General features: G+C 39.4%; 2 long non-coding RNA genes across 2 annotated transcripts in view, besides 1 other annotated feature; one reads left to right on the plus strand and one right to left on the minus strand.

Annotated features, from left to right (window-relative positions):
* The window catches only part of CASC21 (cancer susceptibility 21), a 147995-nt gene that overhangs the window by 112928 nt on the left and 10978 nt on the right, over positions 1–24089 (plus strand). The gene's annotated exons all lie outside the window — the stretch shown is intronic.
* The window catches only part of CASC8 (cancer susceptibility 8), a 192464-nt gene that overhangs the window by 67889 nt on the left and 100486 nt on the right, over positions 1–24089 (minus strand). The gene's annotated exons all lie outside the window — the stretch shown is intronic.
* Positions 13488–13991: an enhancer, noted in NCBI's record as "NANOG hESC enhancer chr8:128383298-128383801 (GRCh37/hg19 assembly coordinates)". NCBI's record gives its function as "activates a minimal SCP1, AML or CMV promoter by ChIP-STARR-seq in primed H9 embryonic stem cells {active_cell/tissue: H9 hESC(primed)}" and the evidence as "EXISTENCE:reporter gene assay evidence [ECO:0000049][PMID:30033119]".

The raw sequence follows: 24089 nt of genomic DNA on the forward strand, positions 1-24089 counted from the left end.
CCTGCACTCAAGCTAATGAAGGACAATAGGGCAAAGTTCTGAGCCCCTCCCTAGGCCCATGGTGGGACAGTTTATCCTCATTTTGAATCTGTATCTAGATGCCTCCTTGCTTACAGCCTTCCTCTGTCAAAGGGTAGTGCTTGAGCCACAGGAGATGCTTCCGCTTCATTTTCATTTTGTTTCCTTCCTTCTCTTTCTTTTCCTGATGCACTTTATGGAATCCATTGTCCTTGTCATCTCTACTCATCGCCTTAATTTATTTATAAAGGTACCCACTAAGAAGGGCCTCCTTCTCATCCTTTCCCCTTTTCTATCCTTTGGTCCTATCCCTCCATGTGCCTGTGTTAGCTGCAGGGGAAAATAAATAAACCTGCCCACATTATGTACATAGGGAATTAAAATTCAACATCTTTTCTTTTTACCTATGACAAAACACTTTAATTATACTGAAGCAAGGTGAGTGCTGAAGGCAAAACCATATCGACAGAAACCAGAGCAAACACACTCTTTTCCCAAGCTAGACAGAGTAGGAAACAGCTTTCCATAAAGCAAGGGCATGGGGATGGAAGACAGCAAGACCCAAGTCCTAAAGCTAGTATCACCACCTCCTTCCAAATCTGTGACTTGGTACAAATAACCATCTTGTCTCTCAGAAAAGCTTTGCTGATCCTGACATACTGACATATATGTTTTTTCCCCTTGTAGGGATGAGACAAATTGTGTAACTGATTGTATTTCCTTTTAGTTCTATCATGAAGTTCATTGGTTTGTCTGGGGCTAAATTTAAATACATAAAATGATATCTGTGAAACCACCTTTGCAAAGATTATGGCAGTGAAAGAAATCTAACATGGCTGACTCCATTTTACTTCTAGCCTAACAGGCTAGTTGTTCTCACTCGTTCCTGGGCATAGGACAAGCTAACCATGGGAGCAATTTAGTTTGTAGTTTAACTTGGAAGCAAGGATAATAATAGTTCTTCCCTAAAACTAACCCCCTCCTTGTTCAGGAACCAAAAACGAATAAAAAGCCGTGAAATTAGAATTATGAGAGGAACCTGAATTCTGCTAAGATTCAGAATAGGCATAGTTTCTATTAATCCTGCTCAGGAGTCATGTGGCCAGAGGTCACAAGATTTCCAACTTCCCCAATTGCTCCTGTAGATAACATTGTTCTTGTAGAACCTAAGATTGTTCTTTTGAGATGTTTTTCCGACTTTTGGATTCTGGTAACTGACTGACCCCATTCAGACCTGTGACTCATGACTTAAGTAGTCCTGTGGCCCCCTCCTTGAGGCAGACTTAGTGCACAAGGACCGTTTTCCACACCCCTATGATTTCATCCTTAACCAGTTAGCAGCACCCAATCCCTAGCCCCCTGCCCACCAAATTATCCATAAAACCCCCAGCCTCTGAGTTCTCAGGGACATGGATTTGAGTAATAACTCCAGTCCTTCCACTTGCCCAGCCTTGCATTAATTAAACTCTTTCTCTACTGCAACCACCAAGTCTCAGTGAATTGGTTTGTCTGTGCAATGGGCAAGAAGAACCTGTCAGGTGGTTACATCTGCATCATTCCCAACTTATCCTCTGTTTTTCTATCTTCTCAGCATCCCTATTTTCCATGATTCTGGCTTTTTATGTTTGTATTCATATTTTCTTTCTACTTGTATTAAGTGAACATGTATATTCATGTTATTGAATTTTTATACATAAAAACAGATTATAAGTAAATAATCTCTTCCCACTTCCATTTTTAGACCTATAAAGGTAGATAATAGTAACTACCACATAGCATTGTTATGAGGCCAAAATAAGGCAAAATATATAAAGGTTTTAGCATAGCCTTGCCTATTAAATGTGAGTGTTCTCGTTTCCTCTCTGAAATGGAAGCATTGGCTGCCATGTGTGGCTCATTGAAAATGTTTTCAATCGGATATGTCAGATCTGAGGTGTGGGACTATGTAGTCAAGGCTAAAATAGTCCACAGATATGAGCATCCTCCAGCATCTCATAGCTGGGTGCCAAGTCAACAGTCACCTTACAGTCTTCAGGGTTCTCTCAGCCTTCACTACAATAAGTGCAATTTTATGCAGTGTTGGTGTTCAATAGTCCACGATCTTGGGCAAGTTATTAACCTCTCTAAAGATTCGGTTCATTCATCTATAGAGCAGAAAGAATAGTATTATCTCTCTCTCTTTAGACTTTAATGAAGATTATGTGAAATGGAACATGTAAATTGTTTATATCATGTAGTGCTTAATGTTAGTTGTTAAATGTAAGCCCAATAATTAGTACTATTGTCATTCCTTGTACTTATATTTGGCATCACGCTATCTATCTCACCTTATTTTTCTAAGTTAGAAAAGCAGGTATTAAATTATTACCTCCATTTTGCAGATAAGGAAATTGAGGCTTAGAAATGTTTCATGACTCCACAGTTTAAAAAGTGATGGATATAAGTAGAAATTATTGCATAAGAAGGATTTAGAGTCATCTAAAGTTGTAGAATAAACTAGGGCAGTTACTTCAGGTTCAGTCCATGCCAAATTTGAGTCTTAAAACTTTTAAAAAACATTTAATTGGAAGGCCATTAGGCTGAGATGGCTCCAGTGTTTTGGGTTCTGTATTAGTCCATTCTTGCATTGCTATAAAGAAATACCTGAGACTGGGTAATTTATAAAGAAAAGTGGTTTCATTGGCTCACAGTTCTGCAGATTGTACAGGAAGCATAGTGGCTTCTGGGGAGGCCTTAGGAAACTGATAATCATGGCAGAAGGCAAAGGGGAAGCAGGGACATCTTACATGGTTGGAGCAGGAGGAAGAGAGAGAGAAGGGGGAGGTGCCACAAATTTCTATGCAACCAGATTTCATGAGAACTAATTCATTCTGCAGTACCAAGAGGGGATGATACTAAACCATTGATGAAGGATCCACCCCCATGATCCAATTATTTCCTATCAATCAGGCCCCACCTCCAATACTGGGGATTACAACTGAAAAAACAGAACTTAAGTTTAGCCAATCTGAAATCACCAACTAACCTCCAACTAGAGACTTCCCACTAGATTGTACCTAAACAAGGCAAAAGGCCTATCTGTAACCAATCAAGCAATTTCTTTACTTTGCTTTCATGTGCACTCTACAGAAGCCCGCTGCTCATGCTGCTGAAGCAGAGTTCTCTGAACCTTTTCCAAGTGGAGTTCTGCCTGATTCACGCTCAAATAAACTTTGTTAAATTAATTTTGTCTAAATTTTTTAAACAACATATATAGGACTAGAATGAAATGTCCATCACCTAGCATAGCACCAAGCTCATTTCAGGGATTTTAGAACGGCTTTAAAAAAAAAGAATAAATAAATAAAAGCTTTATTGAAGTATAATTGATATACAAAGACCTGCACATATTTAATGAGTGATATTTATTGCAATTTGATGAGTTTGGATATACGCAAAAACCATCAGTACAATTAAGGTAATGGACATGCCCATTACCTTCCAGTTTTGTTATGTTGGCAGTAAGAACATGTAACATGAGATCTTCCCTCTTAAATTTTCTGGTGCACAATATCATATTATTAACAGTAGATAATATGTTGTATAGAAGACCTCTAGAATTTATTAATCTAGCATAACTGAAACTTTATACTTATTGAACAACAACTCTCCATCTTCCCACTCCTTGGCAACCACTACTGTGATCCCTGCTTCTATGATTTTGACCATTATAGACATGTCATAAAAGTGGAATCATGTAGTATTTGTTCTTCTGTGCCTGGCTTATGTCACTTAGCCTAATGTCTCCCAGGTTCATTTGTGCCCGTGTTGGCACAAATGGCAGGATTTTTTTCTTTTTAAGACTAAACAACATTCCATTTTGTATATATACCATGTTTTCTTTATCCATTCATCTGTTGATGGACATTTGTGTTGTTTCCATATCTTTGCTATTGTGAATAATGCTTCGATGAACATGGGAGTGCAGAGATAAATGAAGGCTTCAATGCACAAATAGAAACAATGGGTAAATGTAGAGCCGCACTCGGGAGACAAGCCTATTTTAAGCTGAGAAGAAGATTATATTCCCATCAGCTTACTCTTTCCTAGAGCTATCTGTTGTTCTCTAAAAGGCAGAGCATTGGATGGTGTTGAGATTGACTCAGCTTGGGAGTTTTGGAGCTAAAACAGATCTGGGCTCAAATCCTGGGTTTTGGTATTGTTAATATATTAAATCTTTGGTATTCTAAGGAATGCCCACTACTTTCAAAAGACATAAGTAACCTCACTACTCCAGTCATGAACTTGAAGCCAGTTGAGATTTTGAGTAAAGTAAAAAAAAAAAGACTTACTCATCAAATAATCTGAAATATTTTCTTGTGAATGTAAGACAATTTTTCAAGGCAAGTACTGGAGGATTTACTTTATTTATAGACAGAAACCTATAAATAGGAAAAAAAATGTGTTGTCTTACCAAGAAAGGACTAGTCCATTTTGCATCTATCTCATTCATTCATTTTATCCATTTCTATTCATCAAGGCACCACATTTTTCTCTCTTTAAAAAATCTAACTTATTTCATGCAGAATGGATTCTAATACGAGGTACCCTGTAATGTCAGGGAGCTATCCTAAGTATTATGTTAACTTCCATTTCTACACATTTTTCATACGGATACTCATATTACATACTCCTTGGAGATTTAAAAGGTTTGCATTGCCTTCATATACCCCCAAAACTCAGCATGATTTGTTCAAAATTTTACTAGTCAGCACTGAAATAAAAAAAAATGGTACATCATGCACAATGATAAACTACCCCATGTGGTTTGGATAAATTAAATACTTTAAGCTTTCAGTCTCCCTAATGATTTGGAAATGAAGAAGCTGTGATTTATGACTCCAGCTGATAGGTTAGATCTGAAGTTTACACTTTGAAAAATGCCGTATTTAAATTCCCCTATAAATAAAAAATAATATTGCTTTAAAAGCCCAGCCTAAGATATGTATGTAATAAATTAGAGATACTCATATTGAGTGGGGGAAATCTCCAAGACTGATGACTTTCTCCCTTGAAAAAATGCACTGAGTGAACCAGATCTAGGTCTGTGTCTATCTGCTACCACTTAATCACCAGTTATTGTCCCTTTCTGTCCAGTCATTCATTTGCTCATCCTAATGACTACTGTTAAAACCACCTGCACTAGTTCAGTTGTAAAGATGATCTGATGTGGTTTTTAAGTCCAAATCAAGTATTTTTAATCAGGTAGTTTCAAAAGTCTTGATACCAATATCATTCTTTGTTCCTCGTGTTTTTTGTTTGCTTATGTGTTTATTCCAATGACATGACTGCTTTTGGCCTCTGATTTTCTCTCCCAAAAAGTAACAGAACTGAAGCAGGTAATCAATATGATGCACGTTAGTAGGGAAAAAAAAGTACTTGGAGAGGAGTCCGCTGACCCACGGTCCAGTTTGGCTTCTTCTCCTTTCTACCTCGAAGCCATTCACAAATTCCTTATTCTCTCTGGGATCTTTATATTGCAAGGGATTGGCTTATTTGACTCCAAACTTCCTTCTGTCTCAACAACCCTATAGCCCAATGTTTAGTGTGGAGCAAACCTAAGTTCAAATCCTTTAACAAGTTACTGTATTCCCTCTGAGTTCCAGTTTTCCCAGGTATCATGTAGGGATAAATAGCCCCACTACACAGAATTGTCATGAAGATTAAACAATAGAAAATACAGTAATTTCTAGTGCATAATAAGCACTCTAAATAATAGCTGTCATTATTATTTTTATAATTTGTATTAACAGTATTTTCATTATTATGCTAGACAATAACCAGATATAAAGCGAGGAAAGGTGAATCTCACAAGCTTCAGAGAGAAGATGACATCAAAATAAGGGCCTTCTCTCACTTGTTTAATAGCCATAGCAGTCAAGTCAGCAAAGCGGCGAAAAGAATTAAGACAAATACCAAGTCTTCATGACCCTGAACACTCACCGAAAGCTACCTAAGACCTCACACGTGTAGACCTGAATTCCATTTCTGCCACTTACTAGTGCTTGGTGTTGGGCAAGTCACATCACCTTGTTGAGCTCAGTTTTTACATCTACAAAATGCAGCAGTAATCCCTACTTTATATGGTGATAGCATTAAGTAAAACTGAATATTAAGCACTTTATTTTTTACCCAGTCGACAGCAAGTGGATAAAAAAATAAAAGTTGCTACTATTACTATTATTATCATTATTTCGATGATTATTATTGATTTTTCTGGTACTGCTTCTCTGTCTCTGCCAAAGCCACAGACACTCAGTTCCTGGTGTTTTCAAGTTTCCTCTGAGGTCCCATCACTTCCTTTCTCATTTACTTGCACCATTCCACTTGACAGGCTCCACTCCTTTGCACTTCTTCCACTTTCCCTGCTTAGTTTTTACGCAAGTCCTTAGCTTGCTGAGAAGGGCTCTTGTCTCATTTATGATTCATGAGGCACTGAGTATACAGATGGCATTATATAAATGTTTAATAATTGCCATATGGTTTCCCCGGAAATGCTATCACTCAACAAGGAATACAGACTTGAGGCTTCTCACATGTGAAATAAAAAAAAGGCAGACCTGCACTCTCCTGCTCCCCTTCACTGCTACAGCCTCAGAAAACAAACAGAAACAGTTCATCTCAGGCTTCTAGGTGTTTAGAGACCACCACATTTTGGAGCAGTAAAAAAGTAAATAAAAATAAATGTCAGATATTACTCTTCTGTGTTAAAGACAGACAGCTCAGTTGGTGCTACAAAATTCCAGTGTCTATGTTAATTATTATATCACAGAGCACTGTTTTAAGTGGCTGAGTGGCCATGGGGTTTTCAATTGGATCCACTTCCATCATGATCTCATCTCTCTCGGCCAGTTTCTTAAAGGGCGTTGCAGCAGCCATTTATTTATGAGGTTCTGCACTTTGGATGGAGATGCATATGTAATGGGGAGAGACTGCACATTTGACAAATGGGAATCATGATTGTCTGACCTACTGACAGTTGTTGATGTGCTCTCGTGACCTGTAAATGTTGCAGCTGACTGATTACAGTAATTGATTGAGAAAACATTTGTCAATAGCCTTCTAATGACAGAGAGCAGGGAGGAAGAGATTGCTGGAGCACCTAGGAGCTGGGTTTTGCTTAACAGAAGGAGCACTGACCCATGTTATAGACAATCGCAGAATTTCATATCCCCATCTATAAAATGAAAACACAATACTTCTCACCAACACTTATACAGCACCTACTATGTGCTAGGTTAGAGATCATAAACTGGTGATATGTAAGTGGAATATAACCCTCAGACTTGGTCTGTGTGTTCTACGCAGTTGATCTGCACCAGCCTTTTGTTAAAATTGGAAGGAAATTGCTAATATTTAAAATCAGGATATTTCCCACGAAAATCTACATTTCTAGTATCTCAGAAAAATCATTATTTGGCAGCACTGGGCCAGAATTTCTGCAGGGCAATTGTTGTCCTGACTTGGGTGGCTGGTGGAAATGGGCGTGTACTCCTAAGTTTGTCCCAATTGCTACCGCTCTATTACTTCATCCTTTAATGTTCACTCTCTTGGCCCTGTGGGATTTTTGAGGCTGAGATTCCTATTTTAGGTTCTGAAGACAAACACACACACAGAAAAGAATGATTTCAGGCCCTTCCTTGAGCATACTCATGATGCTATAACTTTTTATGACAGTAAATAGTAAGTATCTAGCAAATAAGGAAAAATAGGCTTTCTTGTTTATTAAAGACTGCACAGTGAAGTCAGCCCACATCTATCGATATGGCTGCCATATGCAACAAACTATTTTAAAACCCGTTACAATACCCTGACTTTGGTGGTAGCTGGAATTGTAGATAAAGGAAGACTGCATTTGTAAGTAGTGGACTTGGGCAGGGTTTTCAGTAGTGTCACCTGATTGCTGGTGACCTATAATGAGTCCTTCACTTCCTTGGAAATCTTATTCCTCCAGAGCCAACAGAGTAGGAGGTTGAAAAGTGTTCTATAAACTATAATGCTCTATACCAGGGGCAGTGATCTATGGCCACTAGTTTTTGCAAATAAAGTTTTATTGGAATACAGCTACACCCATTCAGAATATAAACTCCAGAGCAGTTATTTTCAAAGTATAGTCACCAGGCCACTTGGTTCATAAATGCCTGGGCCTTGCTACTACTACAGATTCTAAGGCTCCACTGCAGACTTCCTGAAACAGAATCTTACGGTGGGAGAAGAATGCCAGACTCTGTTTTAACAAGAACCCCAGATTATTTTGATGAGTCCTAAAATTTGAGAGCTTCTACCCTAGGGATAGCCCCCTCTTTCTGTACTATTTGGCACATACAAATTTGGAAGGAGACAGGAAATTCGTGTCCAACACAATGCGTGAGAGGCATGATGAGAGCTAGCAGCATGAATTATGAATCTCCTCTTGTCAGAGAAAACCCTTCAGGCAAGAGAGACCTAAGCTGGCTTTTAATGGAGTCGAGATAACCTGGTTAACCCCAAGAGTTCCTCCTCTGGACAGCTGCCTCATGAGGGAGCTCTCAGAATCACTTCCTGCTCCAATGCCCAGACCCACACTTTGACTAATTTAGTCCAGATGGACTCCCGCCTGCCATTCATTACATATGTGGGTGTTAGCCCAGTGTAACTTTAGTTCCTCTCTTACGGGTCCTCTTTTAATGGATGAGGGCATATGTGTAATGAGAACTCTGAACACACAGAATTCATAGGGCTTAGTCATACAACTAGTTTTATTTATTTTTGTCCCTGATTGCCCTTTTAAACCTACTAGTGAGGATAATCTTTCCCCTGCCACTGGGTGAAAATTCAGGTTGTTCCAAGGCTTTTTGGATCACTTTTACAAGTCTTGAATGCCTAATCTCCAATCATAAATCAAAATATTCAGTTTAATACATGAATGAAAACTCCTATCTATATTCAAGAATAAGACCTTCCTTTCCCCTGGTCCACCCAAACTGCTAGAGCCTGTGGTAGGCAGGTAGCCCGCCTTGGGGAAGAATCATGTCTCACGTTCTCACGTGCGACTTTCTCCACTGACTAATTACTGTTTCTGATCCTCATTTTCATTCAGATCAGGGTGGACGAGGGGAGAAAAAGAGGTAAGGGAAATAAGAAAGTCCTTACTTTCTTATTTGTTGTACTGCTGTGAATCAGCTCTGCTCTCTCTGGGCCTAACGGGTGAACCCTATAGACTGAACACTTTTCAGCAGGCCAGCCTCAAAATGAGCTAAATGTTTTTGCTGAACTCATCAACAAAATGAGCTACGTGCCTTTGTTAAGCTCACCTACTGCAACCTCAGTTATACAGGACGCGGATTCACCCAGGTCCGTGGATAAAGTTCTCTACCTACCCAACATGTCCCTTGACGCACACATCCAGGGAGTCCCATGGGTAGAAGGCAAAGGAGCTTGAGGCTAGCTCGCTGTCTCTCCTGTGTGCCCACATCTGGTCCAGAGGACACTCAAACATCCTATTCACTCAATGCATTTGCTGTGTGCCAGGAGAAGGGGTCACCTCTTTCTCATGTGGCCAGCAAGCAGCTCCCCAACCTTTCTCTCTTGCTCAGTAGAGTCCCCTGAAGGGTGTCAGACATCAATCCACTACTCACTCCCAAATCCTAGATACACACATTATGTTCTCTGAATGGTCTCACAGAAGCACCTCTCCCACTTGGCTTGAAGTGAGGGACAGACATCCCCAGACACATCCTTAGAGAAGGACTCAAAGCCTGTCATCAGCTCCTCCAAGAAATTATCCCCAAATAATCTTCTGTCTGTTGGCTTCTGACCTTTTTATATTCTGCATGGGATAGAGTATTTTAAAATTAATAAAACTGGTTTTCTGGTATCTTCTGTGAATTTTTTTCTATGCTGATACCTAATATCTACTCAATTTTAACTTTATTAGTTGAAACTCAGAATATACTAATCTTCAGTTATGTTATCATTATGTCATCTTCAGGATTAGCTATGAAAAAATTACTTCCATGAATAAAACATCTGAAAGAACAAAATCACCTAAGAAAATCATACAAAATATGGCAATTAGCTCAGGCTCCCAGCTTAGGCTTAACCTCAGCAAACTTCCAGGAGAGATGCCAATATCTATAGAAAACTGGGTTCCCCCATTATTTTCAGGAGGCTAGCTCTGTGGTGGATGAAATGCTCCTCCCACAATGATGCTGTGTTTTCTCTCTCTTAACATCTTGCGGTGTGACTGTTTGCTGCCATTTCCCCATAAACTGAAAATCTCTTGAAAACACACTTCTGTCTTATTCGTCTCTATTTCTCCAATGCTAGCAATGGTTCAACACTTAGAAGACACTAAATAGATATCAATTGAGTAGGATGGAAATATTTCTCCCTTCCCAAATTTACCTGTGATAGCATGGTCAGCCATATTGAGGGAGAGATGACTGATGGCAGCTGAAAGCACTATATATTCCAGGCCTATCTGTGAACAGATCGAAGCATTAAGGAAACAGTTGATAGTGACTTTGAAAAGTGAGTCTTTCTTGTCTTCTAAAATCATACCATGAGTGGGTTATGCCAACAAAGAAGGCTCTTCCACCTCCTGTTACATTTTATTGTGCATGTGGTCCAGGTATATCATGATTCCTTCCAGGTGCACCCCTGGAATACAACATTTATAGCATGACCTAGTCAGAGATCTGTTTGAGGCACAAATTTCCTGTTTGCCACTTACTTCTTTAAGAGCACCTCCTTCATGCTAGTGTTCTCCCTAACTTGCTCAGATGGTTGGGCTTTGCAGAGATGCACCAAAGCAAGTGGGATAAAGGAAGCCTAGGGGTCTCTTCCTAGGAAACTGAGCCATAGACTGGCAGATTTTAAGAAGCCCCAGAGAATAGAATCTATACCTGTGGACTGAGCTTCTCTTCTCCTGGAAATCAAATTGCCTTATTGTTCTGGGCACCAAGGCCTCCACTTATGCTGTGCTTTTGCAGCATTTTGCTCATCCTTAGAGCAAAGCATTTACCATGCTCTTTTACGGTGAATTCACGAATATCCATCCTTTCAAGACTCAGAGCTCCTTGCAGGGAGGAATTTTTGTCTTGTCTCAGAAATCTGAGAACCTAAAACACATAGTTTTGTTAAATGGGTGGATGTTAATGTTTGTTGGATGACAGATAGGTGGATGGATGGGTGGAAGAATGGATGGATGAATTAATCTCTTGCATGTTTACCATGTGGAAATTAGAATTACACGGTGTCTCTGGATTCTCTCAAAGCCAAACAGTGATCAGGAAGAATCTGGAAGTAATACTATTCTCTATCATTAACAGCAGCAGCAATATCTCATAACGGCATGATATATCTAAATGTACAAGGAAGAATATTTATAGTGTATGAGAAAATCTCTTTTCTAATATAAAATATATATAATAAAATATATAAAAATATATAATATATATAAAAGCTATTCAATTTTGTATTTAAAACATATTTAAGTGAATTGCCTGAATAGATGCTGATTAGAGTATCTGTCATGTTTTGCTACCAGCATCCAGCAGTTCTTCTTCAGATAACCACGCTCTGATTGTTTTCCAGAAAACCACCTTTCCCAACAGCCTCAGCCCATGTGCCTTGATTGAAGTATCACCATTGGCCAAAGCTACTCACAGTATTTATTCTTCCTGACCCTAATGCTCAATTTAAGGATAGATATCTGCTCCAATCAGAGCTAGAGAAATGGTATGAGACTTTTGCTTAGACTTCTCGGAAACTCTTTCTGCTTACCTAAACCCGAGAGAATATAAAATCTTGTTCCTCGAGAGAATATAAAATCTGGTTCCTCAGCAGCTATCTTTCTACCATAAGGAGGGCAATTTGTCTGAGAAGGTGATTACCTTAGACTAGCAAACGAAAGACAGAGAGACTGGGCAATTGTAACATTATTTAAATCTTGGAATAATGCTATATCTTAACACTACTTCTGTACTATCTTTTTCTGTGTGTGCATATTTTATAGTTATTTATGTTTATATATGATTACTCAAACAAATATATTTTTTCCTAAAGCTAAGTGGGTCAGACTTTTTTTTTTTTTTTTGCATTTGCAACCCTAAGTCCTAACAGATTAATTTCTCTTTTCAAAATTAAATGCTGGTATAAGTTTTTGCAACTCCTACTATACACATGGATAAAATCAACTTTACTATTGTGGGAAGTCCATGTATGGACTCAGGTGTTTCACAAATAATAATATGAACTTACTCATCCAGGTCCTGTGCCAGATTCTTGAAAGACAAAAATTACATTCCGTATCTCAAGGTGCTCACACTTTTAATAGGAATTAGATTTGTAAACAACTAATTATAATGCAATATATGTGAATAAAGTATTAACATAAGTAAAAATAGTGTAGCGAACACTTAAATGACAAATCAATTACTCCTGATTTTTAAGTAATATTTCTAATTTATAGTCACAAAATAAGTTAGTATGGTAAGTGGGTGGATGAGTAAGAAGGAAGATCTTTTCCATATACTGGAAGGCTTTGTATATAGGGAGCTTTTAAATGATTCTGATACTGACATCACTATTCCAGAGCAATTTAAGGCATACTCTCTGAGGGACAGGACCCAGGCTTTAGTATTTTAGAAGCTCCAGAGGTGATTCTAATTTTCAGCCAGGGTTGCCAATCACCTTTTATAGTTGCCAACGACAGCAGTGATGCTCAACCTTCTTGTGCATCCAAATCACCCTGGGCAGTTTATGAAAAATACTCATCCTCAGTCTCCACACTCAGACATTCTGATTCAGCTGGTCTAGGGTGGGAAACAGGTGTCAGGGGGTTTAAAACTCCCCAGGTGACTCTAATATTCAGCCACGATTAAAAACCACTAATTTATAAGAAACTCATCATTTTGGAGGTGCCAACAGAGTCCTATGTATCATGCTGAGTACATTTATATGCCTGATTTTTCTTTGTTCTTCTTAAAAACCTTTCAAACAGCAGCATTATACAGATAAGAAAATAGACACTCTGAAAGCAAAATAACTTGACCAATATGACCTATATAAATGACAAGAGCTGGAATTTGAACCCAGTTTTGTCTGCTTTCAAAGTCCAAATTCTTTTAACCTCAGCATTCATCTATTCGTTTATTGTTAGTCAGTCTGTTTTTCTTTCAACAAGCACTTAGTGTCTTTTAATAAGTGTGTGGCTTATGTCCCAGAATGCAAAGCATCTCCACAAAGCGGCCACCTACCTCCTTAGGAACACAGCCTTGTAGACCTAAATGTGAAAGACAAATCCCTGTTTAATGAACCAGCTTTAAGCCACCCCTAGTACCTCAGGCTGCAAATACAGTTTGGTTATTCCAGTCTCTTTGCTCTGGACACAACACAGTCCCAGTGGCTTCAAAGAGGGGCAAGCCATATTAATCATACTATGGGAAGTCACTTCCAGATCACTAACCCAAAAGGCAAGTGACATGAAATACACCTGGTCCTACTCTAGTCAAATGACTGCAGGGAGAGTGGCAGGTAGGGTTTTCTGTTGGAGAAAGAGCACCCGGGAGAGACAGAAGGGCAAAGATAGTCTTGGTGTGAGAAGCAAGATTTGCCTCCTGGCTACAAGGAAAAGCTCTCTTTGTCTTTCTTAGTCCCAAGAACAACCTGCCCTTTGTGATCAAACCTGCCAGCAATTTCTGCCTGAAGGACTGGAAAAGCCTGTCATCTCAGCAGACAAAGGAGGCCTCCAGCCCCAGAGGCAGTGCAGTCAATGAAGGGGAAGAGGACAGTTACCTTTCCTTCCACTCACCTTGATGGCCTCCTGTTACAGGTGCCTCCCTGCCATTTCAGAGATGCATGCCATCCTGCCATCTGCTCTCAGAGTGTTAGAATTCAAGGAATTCTGTGCTTATCTTGTTGTCCACACACCGAATCCTTAGCCCAGCTTGGAGCAATTTAATTCCAACCTACATTTTCAGCTTCATCACCTGCTGCTACCCACAGCTTAATGACCCTTTAGTGTAGTCACTGAAGGCCCCTTTCTTTTTGGCTTTCTCTCACAAAGTTTCTTTCCTGCTGCCGAAATTCTCTTCTCCCTTCCTTCCTCTTGGAAAACTCTCACCTACATAGTTATCTACCGTACTAGGAAGACTTCCTGCTGTACCGGTGAACAGAGTCACCTTTGTAATTTTTTATAAAACAAAATTTTCTTTACTTCTATAATTCCCCTGATACTATACTCATCTTAGGGGCTTAGAATTAAATAATCTTTACATACCTGGCTCAGTTGTGACCTCCTCCAGGAAGTCATCCTTGAGGCCCCACTTTTCAGTCTTAGCCCTCCTTCATGCTCTCATAATGCTATACTAGTAGCTCTCAAATGTTAGTGTACATCAGAATAACTCGAAGAACTTGTTAAAATGCAGGTTTTGGGGCCTCATTCCCAGTTACTGACTTAGTAGGTCTAGCATGAAGCCCAGGAATTTCCATTTCTATTACATTTTCAGTGATGTTGATGCTGCTGGCCCAGGGAACACCCTTGAGAACTACTGGTCTATATTTACTCAAACATAATTCTCTCATTGTGCTTATAATATGTGTGGCAAATTACTTATTTATGATTCCACTTGCCCCACTCACTACATCAGTCAATAAGGAAATTTCAGAAAAATATAAAGCAACACAAAAAACAATTCAGAGTATACTAATTATCTATTGTGCAATAAATGACCCCAAAACTTAGTTCAAAACAATAAATATTTATTATAGCATTATTTCTGTAAGTTAGAAATCAGGAATGGCTTTGATGGATGGTTCTGGCTCAAGATCTTTCACAAGGTTGTACTCAAGCTGTTGGAAAGGGCTGCAGCCTCATCTGAAAGCTCAACTGGGAAAGGAACCTCTTCCAAACTTACACCGGTGGTTGTTAGTAGGGCTCAATTTTCCACTGGTGGTTACCAGAAACTTCAAGTCTGTCCCACATGGACCTCTCCATCAGATGGACTAATGTGCTCAAAACATGGTAGCTGGCTTTCCCCACAGCAAGTAACCCAAAAGAGACAGTGAACACCCAAGATGGAAGTCGCAGTCATTTATAACCTAATCTTAGAAGTTATAGTTTCTGCCATGTGCAGGTGGTAAAACAAACCAACCCTAGTTCAGTGAAAGATGGGACTACACGAAGGTAAGACCATGAATGCTGGCTATCAATCACATGGGGTAGTCATAGAGAATAGAGATGACCCTTTTATGTAGGGTGTCTAGGGAAAACCTTTTTGGGGAGATGCTATGAAAACCAAAATCTAAATGAACAGAGATAGCCAACTGTATAAAGACTTAGAAGTAGAGAATTCCAGGCAGAGGAAAAGCAAAGGCTCTAAGGTAGAAATGAGCTTGGTATATTTGAAGAAGAGAAAGTGGGCTGGTAGAAGAGCCAGCAAGGAGCAGGAGGGGCAGCTGTTATTATTAACATCAAAAACTTTTTTTATTATACTTTAAGTTCTGGGATACATGTGCCAAATGTGCAGGTTTGTTACATAGGTATACATGTGCCATGGTGGCTTGCTGCACCCATCAACCCATCATCCACATTAGGTATTTCTCCTAATGCTATCCCTCCCCTTGCCCCCCACCCAACAACAGGCCCCAGTGTGTGATGTTCCCCTCCCTGTGTCCATGTGTTATCATTGTTAAACTCCCACTTATGAGTGAGAACATGCAGTGTTTGGTTTTCTGTTCCTGTGTTAGTTTGCTGAGAATGATGGTTTCAAGCTTCATCCATGTCCCTGCAAAGGACAATGAACTCATCCTTTTTTATGGCTGCATAGTATTCCATGGTGTATATGTACTACATTTTCTTTATCCAGTCTATCATTGATGGGCATTTGGGTTGGTTCCAAGTCTTTGCTATTGTGAACAGTGCTGCAAGAAACATACGTGTCCATGTGTCTTTAAAGTAGAATGATTTATAATCCTTTGGGTATATACCCAGTAATGGGATTGTTGGGTGAAATGGTATTTCTGATTCCAGATCCTTGAGGAATCGCCACGCTGTCTTCCATAATGGTTTAACTAATTTACACTCCCACCAACAGTGTAAAAGTGTTCCTATTTCTCCACATCCTCTCCAGCAGCTGCTGTTTCCTGACTTTTTAATGATTGCCATTCTAACTGGTTTGAGATGGTATTGCATTGTGGTTTTGATTTGCATTTCTCTAATGACCAGTGATGATGAGCTTTTTTTCATATGTTTGTTGGCAGCATAAATGTCTTCTCATCAAAAACATTTTTAAAGCATCTACTATGCTCAGGGTCTTATCAGCCATATAAATAAGGAAAAATACAAAATTTCTTTTTTTTTTTTTTGAGACGGAGTCTCGCTTTCACCCAGGCTGGAGTGCAGTGGTGCGATCTCGGCTCACTACAGGCTCTGCCCACTGGTTTCACGCCATTCTCCTGCCTCAGCCTCCCGAGTAGCTGGGACTACAGGCGTGGAAAAATACATCATTTCTAACTTCAAGGAACTGATCTTCCAGTTGAAGAAACCTTTCATGCTTTTTAATTAGTGCAATCAGAAAGTCTAGATAATTTAGCTTCAATACATTCCCATTACCACACCCACATTTTTTATTGTATGAGTTTCAATTATGTTTAATCAACTCAGGAGCAAGAGTTTGAGGGAAAAAAGTACCAATTAGTTGAGTAAAGCCAAGACTATGCCTTATATTTGTCAAATTTAATGAGCCAGAACCTTTCCAATCTTGGAGAATATGCAACCTGGAATCTTGAAAAAGCTGGAAGAGACTTCAGAGATCATTCCATCCTTCTGTCTTCATCTCCAGCTTGATTTTTGAAGAAGAAACTGAAACCAGTGAGCTAGAGAAACCAGCCCAAGATCTCAAAGACTGTTGGACAGCCCTCCATCCACTAATTGGGTTAATGAGCTTAATGAGAACCCGTCCCATGCAAGGTGCTCAGGGTAGCAGAGGAACAACTAAACTCCCATCTCAGGATTTCTAGGTCAGCCTGTGTTCCATGGCAGAGATAATCCAGAAGCTGCCTTAGGTGTGGGAAAGAGCAGAGAAAGGGGAAGAAAGAGGCTAGGACGCAGCCTCCAGGCTCTCCTCTGCTCAACCACAGCAGACACCTTCATCTACTTTATATGTAGGAGTTTATAAATGTCTCTGCTAAAAGAAGATTGAAAGCCACTTTATAATACCATTCTTTTTTCTTTGATAGTTAAGCCTAGAGGTCAGCAAACTTCATCTCCTAAACCCAAACTAGCCCACTGCTTTTATTTATATGACCTGTGAGCCAGAAATGGCTTTTGCATTTTCAAATGGTCAACAAAAAAATCAAAAGATAAATAATATTTTGTCACACATCAAAAAGTAGATGAAATTCAAATCTCAGTGTCCATAAGTAAAGTTTAGAACACAGCCACACCCATTTATTTAAGTATCATCTCTGGCTGTTTTTGTGCTACTGTTGCAGAGCTGGGTAGTTGTGACAGACCATCTGGCCTGCAACCTAAAATATTTACTATGTGACCTTTATAGAAATGCCTGCAACCCCTGGTACAGCCAAGGGTCCAATAGATGCCTAAATCCCTCCCTTCACATCTTCCTTCTCTTTTTATTCCTTCTGCTTCCCAGCAAAACTTCATTATATGTTGGTATTCAGAATATAGTTTACTGGGATCCACAGGTCTGCCTTTGATGCTAGTGTATTTTGGGGACACAACACTAGGGTTTCAGATTCCTGATTCAAACCATCCAAACCCCATCTGCTCTTTCTAATAACATCCTGTAGTCAGCATTGCAGAAAGAGTTTGAGTGATTACCTCCCTACTCTTATCCCCCAGCCAATGAAGCATCTGCTAATGATATGAGCTGTTCTTTCCTGTCCCTGTGGTCCATAAAAGCCTGGGTTACAGAAAGAACGAAGTCGAAGTGCATAGACAACTCCACCACCCACAGCTACTTGAGCTCCTAAATATCTCTCTAGAAGGGCAGATATGTGAAGAGGAGTCTGGCAGACACATTGCTTATTCTTGTTGAAGGTGTGGATTGCTAGCAAAAGGTTCATTGTCAGAGATAACCTAGGTCTGAGGAAGCAGAGGCCAATAGTTTTTACATGCATCAGAGTGTTAGACAATAAGATGCAGTGTAAAAGTGTTTGTTCTCACTGCTAACCAAAGACAGGCAAATTAAGACTATTAAAGTATCCTTTTCTACCCACTAAAATAATTTTAGAGAAAATTTAAGATTACAAAGCTCAGCGTTAGTAAGACTGCAGGGAAAAAGAAACACGCACACATTGGAAAAATCATTTCGGAGACCAAATTAGTAAAATAAATAAAGAGCCAATATAATCATGCCCTTTGACAAAGGAATTCTCCTGGATTCTTCTAAAGGCATAAATTAAAAACAACAACAACCACAAAAACCAAAAAAACTTGTACAAAGAAATTCATTGCAAGATATTTACAGTGTGTTATTTAAAGTAACAAAAAGTCCCCAAACTCTAAATGTTTGATAATATATTTTGATGTATTAAATTATGGTAAACTAACCCAAAGGAAATATCTTATGGTCATTAAAATGACCATGTTGTAACATATAAATTCCTTTAAAAATATTATGAAAGTAGAAAGGTAGAACAGAGAACATTGTATACATACTGCAATTAATGTAAAAATATGCATGCATCTGAATAAAAATGAGATAGGAAGTTTCTGACAGTTCTTTTCTGTTAGCCATGGGGAGAATATGGGTGAATATTTTTTTCTATTTTAACTTTCACGAAAGTTGTTGTAATAAGTAAAAGGCTTTGTTTTACTTATAAGCATATATTTTAATAAAAGAAGATGAGAAAAGAAGAATGAGTCTTCTTTATAACATTACTTTTTGGGATACTGAGAAGCAGCATTACATTTGAGAGAGCTGGGTCACAACCCACAGTGGGTACCTCTCAGGACCGTAATGCAGGGATCCAAGAGGGAAGGAAGCTGTGCTCTACCCATGAAATCTGGTAATCGTGACATCGATAGAGATGGATGCTTCTGATGGGAGGCAGAGATAGGGCCACTGAGAAAGTGACTCAGCAGGGCCAGATGGTATTTATTCAAGAGCTCATTTATTTGGATCAACTAATGTATGAAATAGCAGGGATCCTGACAAGGACATGCGATACCTCATTTCCTTGAAGATTAAGGAGCTGCAAAGGAAGTATCTATCCTCCAAAGAGAGCCTAAGGAAGACAGAATGAGGCTCAGAGGTGGCCAAGCCCTGAGCAGAGCCCAGCTTCCATGAGACTGATAAAGACAGAAAGATGTTTGCCTGGAGTTATGGGTTGAACTGTATCTCCCACCCCCGCCCTCCCCTCCCCAAAAGATATGTTGAAATCTTAACCCCCAATACTTTAGAATGTGACCTTATTTGGAAATAAGGTCATTGCAGATGTAATTAGTTTAGTGAGGTTGGACGGGTGTGGGCCCCTAACCCAATACAACTGGTGTCCTTATAGGAAGAGGAGAGCACACAGAGACACACACAGGGAGAGCACCATGTGAAGACACAGATGGAGACACATACAAAGGGAGTGTCCTGTGAGAGAGAGGCACAAATGGAGGGATGCATCTAAAAGCCAAGGAACGTCAAAGATTGCTGGCCATTACCAGAAGCTAAGAAGGGTCAAAGAAGGATTTCCCTATAGGTTTCAGGAGTATGACCCTGTTGAGTGCCTGATTCTAGACTTTCCGTCTCCAGAACTGTGAAGCAATAAAATTTCTGTTGTTTTAAGCCATCTAGTTTGTAGTATGGTTTACAGATGCCCCAGCTAGGAAACAAGTATACCCTGAAAGTCTCTGTGGTCAGCGGAGTGAGTCTGAGCCAGTTGCTTTTCCTTCCTTAACTTTTGGATTGCTGCAGCTGGTTGCAACTTGGGTCTTACTGATACAGACCAAGCAGAAATAACCTAGCAACTGGATACCCAGCTTAGGCCCAAAGGAGGGTACACAAAGCAGAAGTGTGGGTTCTGAGCCAGGCACCTTCTCCCCACAGCAGCATGTAAGCATTTAATAATGGGAGGACAGGAGTAAAATGGGGGAAGCGTGGGAAGGCGAATGTGGTGCCCAGATAGTAATATGTAGTGTATGATATGTATAGTGAGTGAGGAAGCACCTGGATTCAGAGTTCCAATCTCAGTTACACCACCTAACTAGCGGTGATCCTTTAAGTTACTTAACCTCTCTGTGGCTCAGTTGTCTTATCTATAAAATGGGACTAATAATAGTTTCTCCCTCACAGGGCTATTGTGAGGGGTAAGTGACTTAATAACTATAACTTGCATAGAACGGAGCCCAGTGCATAGTGTGATAATGTTAAACATTACCTCCACCTTTCCATGTATGCCTTTACAGTTATTCTATCAACTATTCTATGATGCCAATCTTATTAAGTTATGAGTAGAGAGAGAAACTCAGGCTTAAGAGGTTAAAGGAAATAGGTTAAAGAACATACACAAAATAAAGCAGCTTGGCAATTGGAGATTCAAACTATGGCAAGAAGGAGCAAGGGAGGACAAAGCAGGAATGTGAGATGAAAGCCAGGAACTTTCTGGTAAGCAGATCAAACTGGAAGCCAGATTACCTGGCGCCATAGTGCATCCTTTGTTCAGTTCTTCACTGTCCTGATGTCCTAAGTTCTGGTTGATCTGCCATCAATTTGCTGTACAGCCTTCAGTAAGTCACTTGCATTTCTTAACTTACATCAACGTTTCTCAACCTCAGCACTGTTGATATTTCAGGTCAGGTTATTCTTTATTGTAGGGAGGTGTCCTTTGTATTGTAGAAGATTTAGTAGCATTTCTGGCCCTTGTACACTAGATACCAATAGCATCTTTCCCACATGATAATAAAAACTGTCCCCAGATACTACCAAATATCCTCCAGAAGGGAAAATTGTCCCCAGCTGAAAATTATTGACCTACATGATAGGATTAAGTTACCTGTGAAACTGCCTAATTGAGCCATTCTGGGGAGCAAATTTGATAAATACGTTTTTAATCTTTAAAAAAACACAAAGTATTGCTAATATAAGATATTGTAAGACACATAAAATATTATTTGTTAGATGTCACTTACCACATGCAAAAAAATGGGTAACAGCTTTCTCCTTTCAAAAAAATTACAACCAAGGAGGGAAGGAAAGAAAAGTATGAATGCAATGAGCATTGTTGAGGCCAAAAGGCTTAGGAAGAAATTACCCTCAACTGAGTCAATAAGGGGATTTTATAAAGGAAATAGGACATGAGCCACTTATTGAAGGATGGGAACGATTTCTGCAGACAGAAATGAAATCTCCCTTAGAGACAGGGAGATACATACAAAGTTATCACACATCAGGAGCCAAGTGAGAAACCAAGAAGAGACTAAGCTGATGAGGACTCCTGAAATAACTTGTTTTTTCCTCTTCCTAGAAGGCCTTTCCCACTTTCACAAACCCAATCATCCTCGTCCTTCAAGGCTCAGTTCAGATGCTACCTCCTCCAAGAAGCCTTTTCTGAACTCCCAAATTTGGCAAGATACCGCTTTGCATTGTTCCTCTTTGCTCCCAGTAATAACCCCCATTAGTTTCTCTTATAGGGCTGCCATTGGCAGTAGGGTGGGTTGGTTCTTCATTGAGTAATTGGATTGTTTTATGCACTGTAGAAAGTTAAGTATTCTTAACTTTCACTCCCTAAATATCAATGATATTCCTTATCATCGTGATGACCAAAAATCTCCATGACACTATCCCAAATATCTCTAAGTAGCAATAAAAACCATATCGCAGTGAAAACTACATCTTAATACTTAATATATTTTGCCTGAAACCATGCGCCTGTCTCCTCCTGTCGACAGTAAGCCCCTGGAGGACAGATTGTTAATCTCAATCATATCTGCATCACTAGGACCTACTCCAGTTCCTAGTTTACAACTGGTATTTGATAAATATTCAGTGATCTATCAAAGCCTAGATTTTATCTAGGGGAAAATTGTGAATTCAGAATTGGAACATAAATTGGGGCCAGATTGTAAACAACTTTGAATATGCTAAGAAACATTAGTTTTATTCTATTAGGTGAAATCATATGAAGTTATCATTTTTGTAAGTCAAAATGGTCGATTTTCAGCAGCTGCATATAACCTTTCCTAATGTAAGCCAGTATAATTTTTTAAAAATTGAACAGAACCAAAGACAAAAACCACATGATTATCTCAATAGATGCAGAAAAAGCCTTTGACAAAATTCAACAACCCTTCATGCTAAAAACTCTCAATAAATTAGGTATTGATGGGACGTATTTCAAAATAATAAGAGCTATCTATGACAAACCCACAGCCAATATCATACTGAATGGGCAAAAACTGGAAGCATTCCCTTTGAAAACTGGCACAAGACAGGGATGCCCTCTCTCACCACTCCTATTCAACATAGTGTTGGAAGTTCTGGCCAGGGCAATTAGGCAGGAGAAGGAAATAAAGGGTATTCAATTAGGAAAAGAGGAAGTCAAATTGTCCCTGTTTGCAGATGACATGATTGTATATCTAGAAAACCCCATTGTCTCAGCCCAAAATCTCCTTAAGCTGATAAGCAACTTCAGCAAAGTCTCAGGATACAAAATCAATGTACAAAAATCACAAGCATTCTTATACACCAACAACAGACAAACAGAGAGCCAAATCATGAGTGAACTCCCATTCACAATTGCTTCAAAGAGAATAAAATACCTAGGAATCCAACTTACAAGGGATGTGAAGGACCTCTTCAAGGTGAACTACAAACCACTGCTCAAGGAAATAAAAGAGGATACAAACAAATGGAAGAACATTCCATGCTCATGGGTAGGAAGAATCAATAGCGTGAAAATGGCCATACTGCCCAAGGTAATTTACAGATTCAATGCCATCCCCATCAAGCTACCAATGACTTTCTTCACAGAATTGGAAAAAACTACTTTAAAGTTCATATGGAACCAAAAAAGAGCCTGCATCGCCAAGTCAATCCTAAGCCAAAAGAACAAAGCTGGAGGCATCACACTACCTGACTTCAAACTTTACTACAAGGCTACAGTAACCAAAACAGCATGGTACTGGTACCAAAACAGAGATATAGATCAATGGAACAGAACAGAGCCCTCAGAAATAACACCGCATACCTACAACTGTCTGATCTTTGACAAACCTGAGAAAAACAAGAAATGGGGAAAGGATTCCCTATTTAATAAATGGTGCTGGGAAAACTGGCTAGCCATATGTAGAAAGCTGAAACTGGATCCCTTCCTTACACCTTATACAAAAATCAATTCAAGATGGATTAAAGACTTAAACGTTAGACCTAAAACCATAAAAACCCTAGAAGAAAACCTAGGCATTACCACTCAGGACATAGGCATGGGCAAGGACTTCATGTCCAAAACACCAAAAGCAATGGCAACAAAAGACAAAATTGACAAATGGGATCTAATTAAACTAAAGAGCTTCTGCACAGCAAAAGAAACTACCATCAGAGTGAACAGGCAACCTACAAAATGGGAGAAAATTTTCACAACCTACTCATCTGACAAAGGGCTAATATCCAGAATCTACAATGAACTCAAACAAATTTACAAGAAAAAAACAAACAACCCCATCAAAAAGTGGGCGAAGGACATGAACAGACACTTCTCAAAAGAAGACATTTATGCAGCCAAAGAACACATGAAAAAATGCTCATCATCACTGGCCATCAGAGAAATGCAAATCAAAACCACAATGAGATACCATCTCACACCAGTTAGAATGGCAATCATTAAAAAGTCAGGAAACAACAGGTGCTGGAGAGGATGTGGAGAAATAGGAACACTTTTACACTGTTGGTGGGACTGTAAACTAGTTCAACCATTGTGGAAGTCAGTGTGGCGATTCCTCAGGGATCTAGAACTAGAAATACCATTTGACCCAGCCATCCCATTACTGGGTATATACCCAAATGACTATAAATCATGCTGCTATAAAGACACAT

Source organism: Homo sapiens, chromosome 8, assembly GCF_000001405.40.
Source record: "Homo sapiens chromosome 8, GRCh38.p14 Primary Assembly".
Classification (NCBI taxonomy): Eukaryota; Metazoa; Chordata; class Mammalia; order Primates; family Hominidae; genus Homo; species Homo sapiens.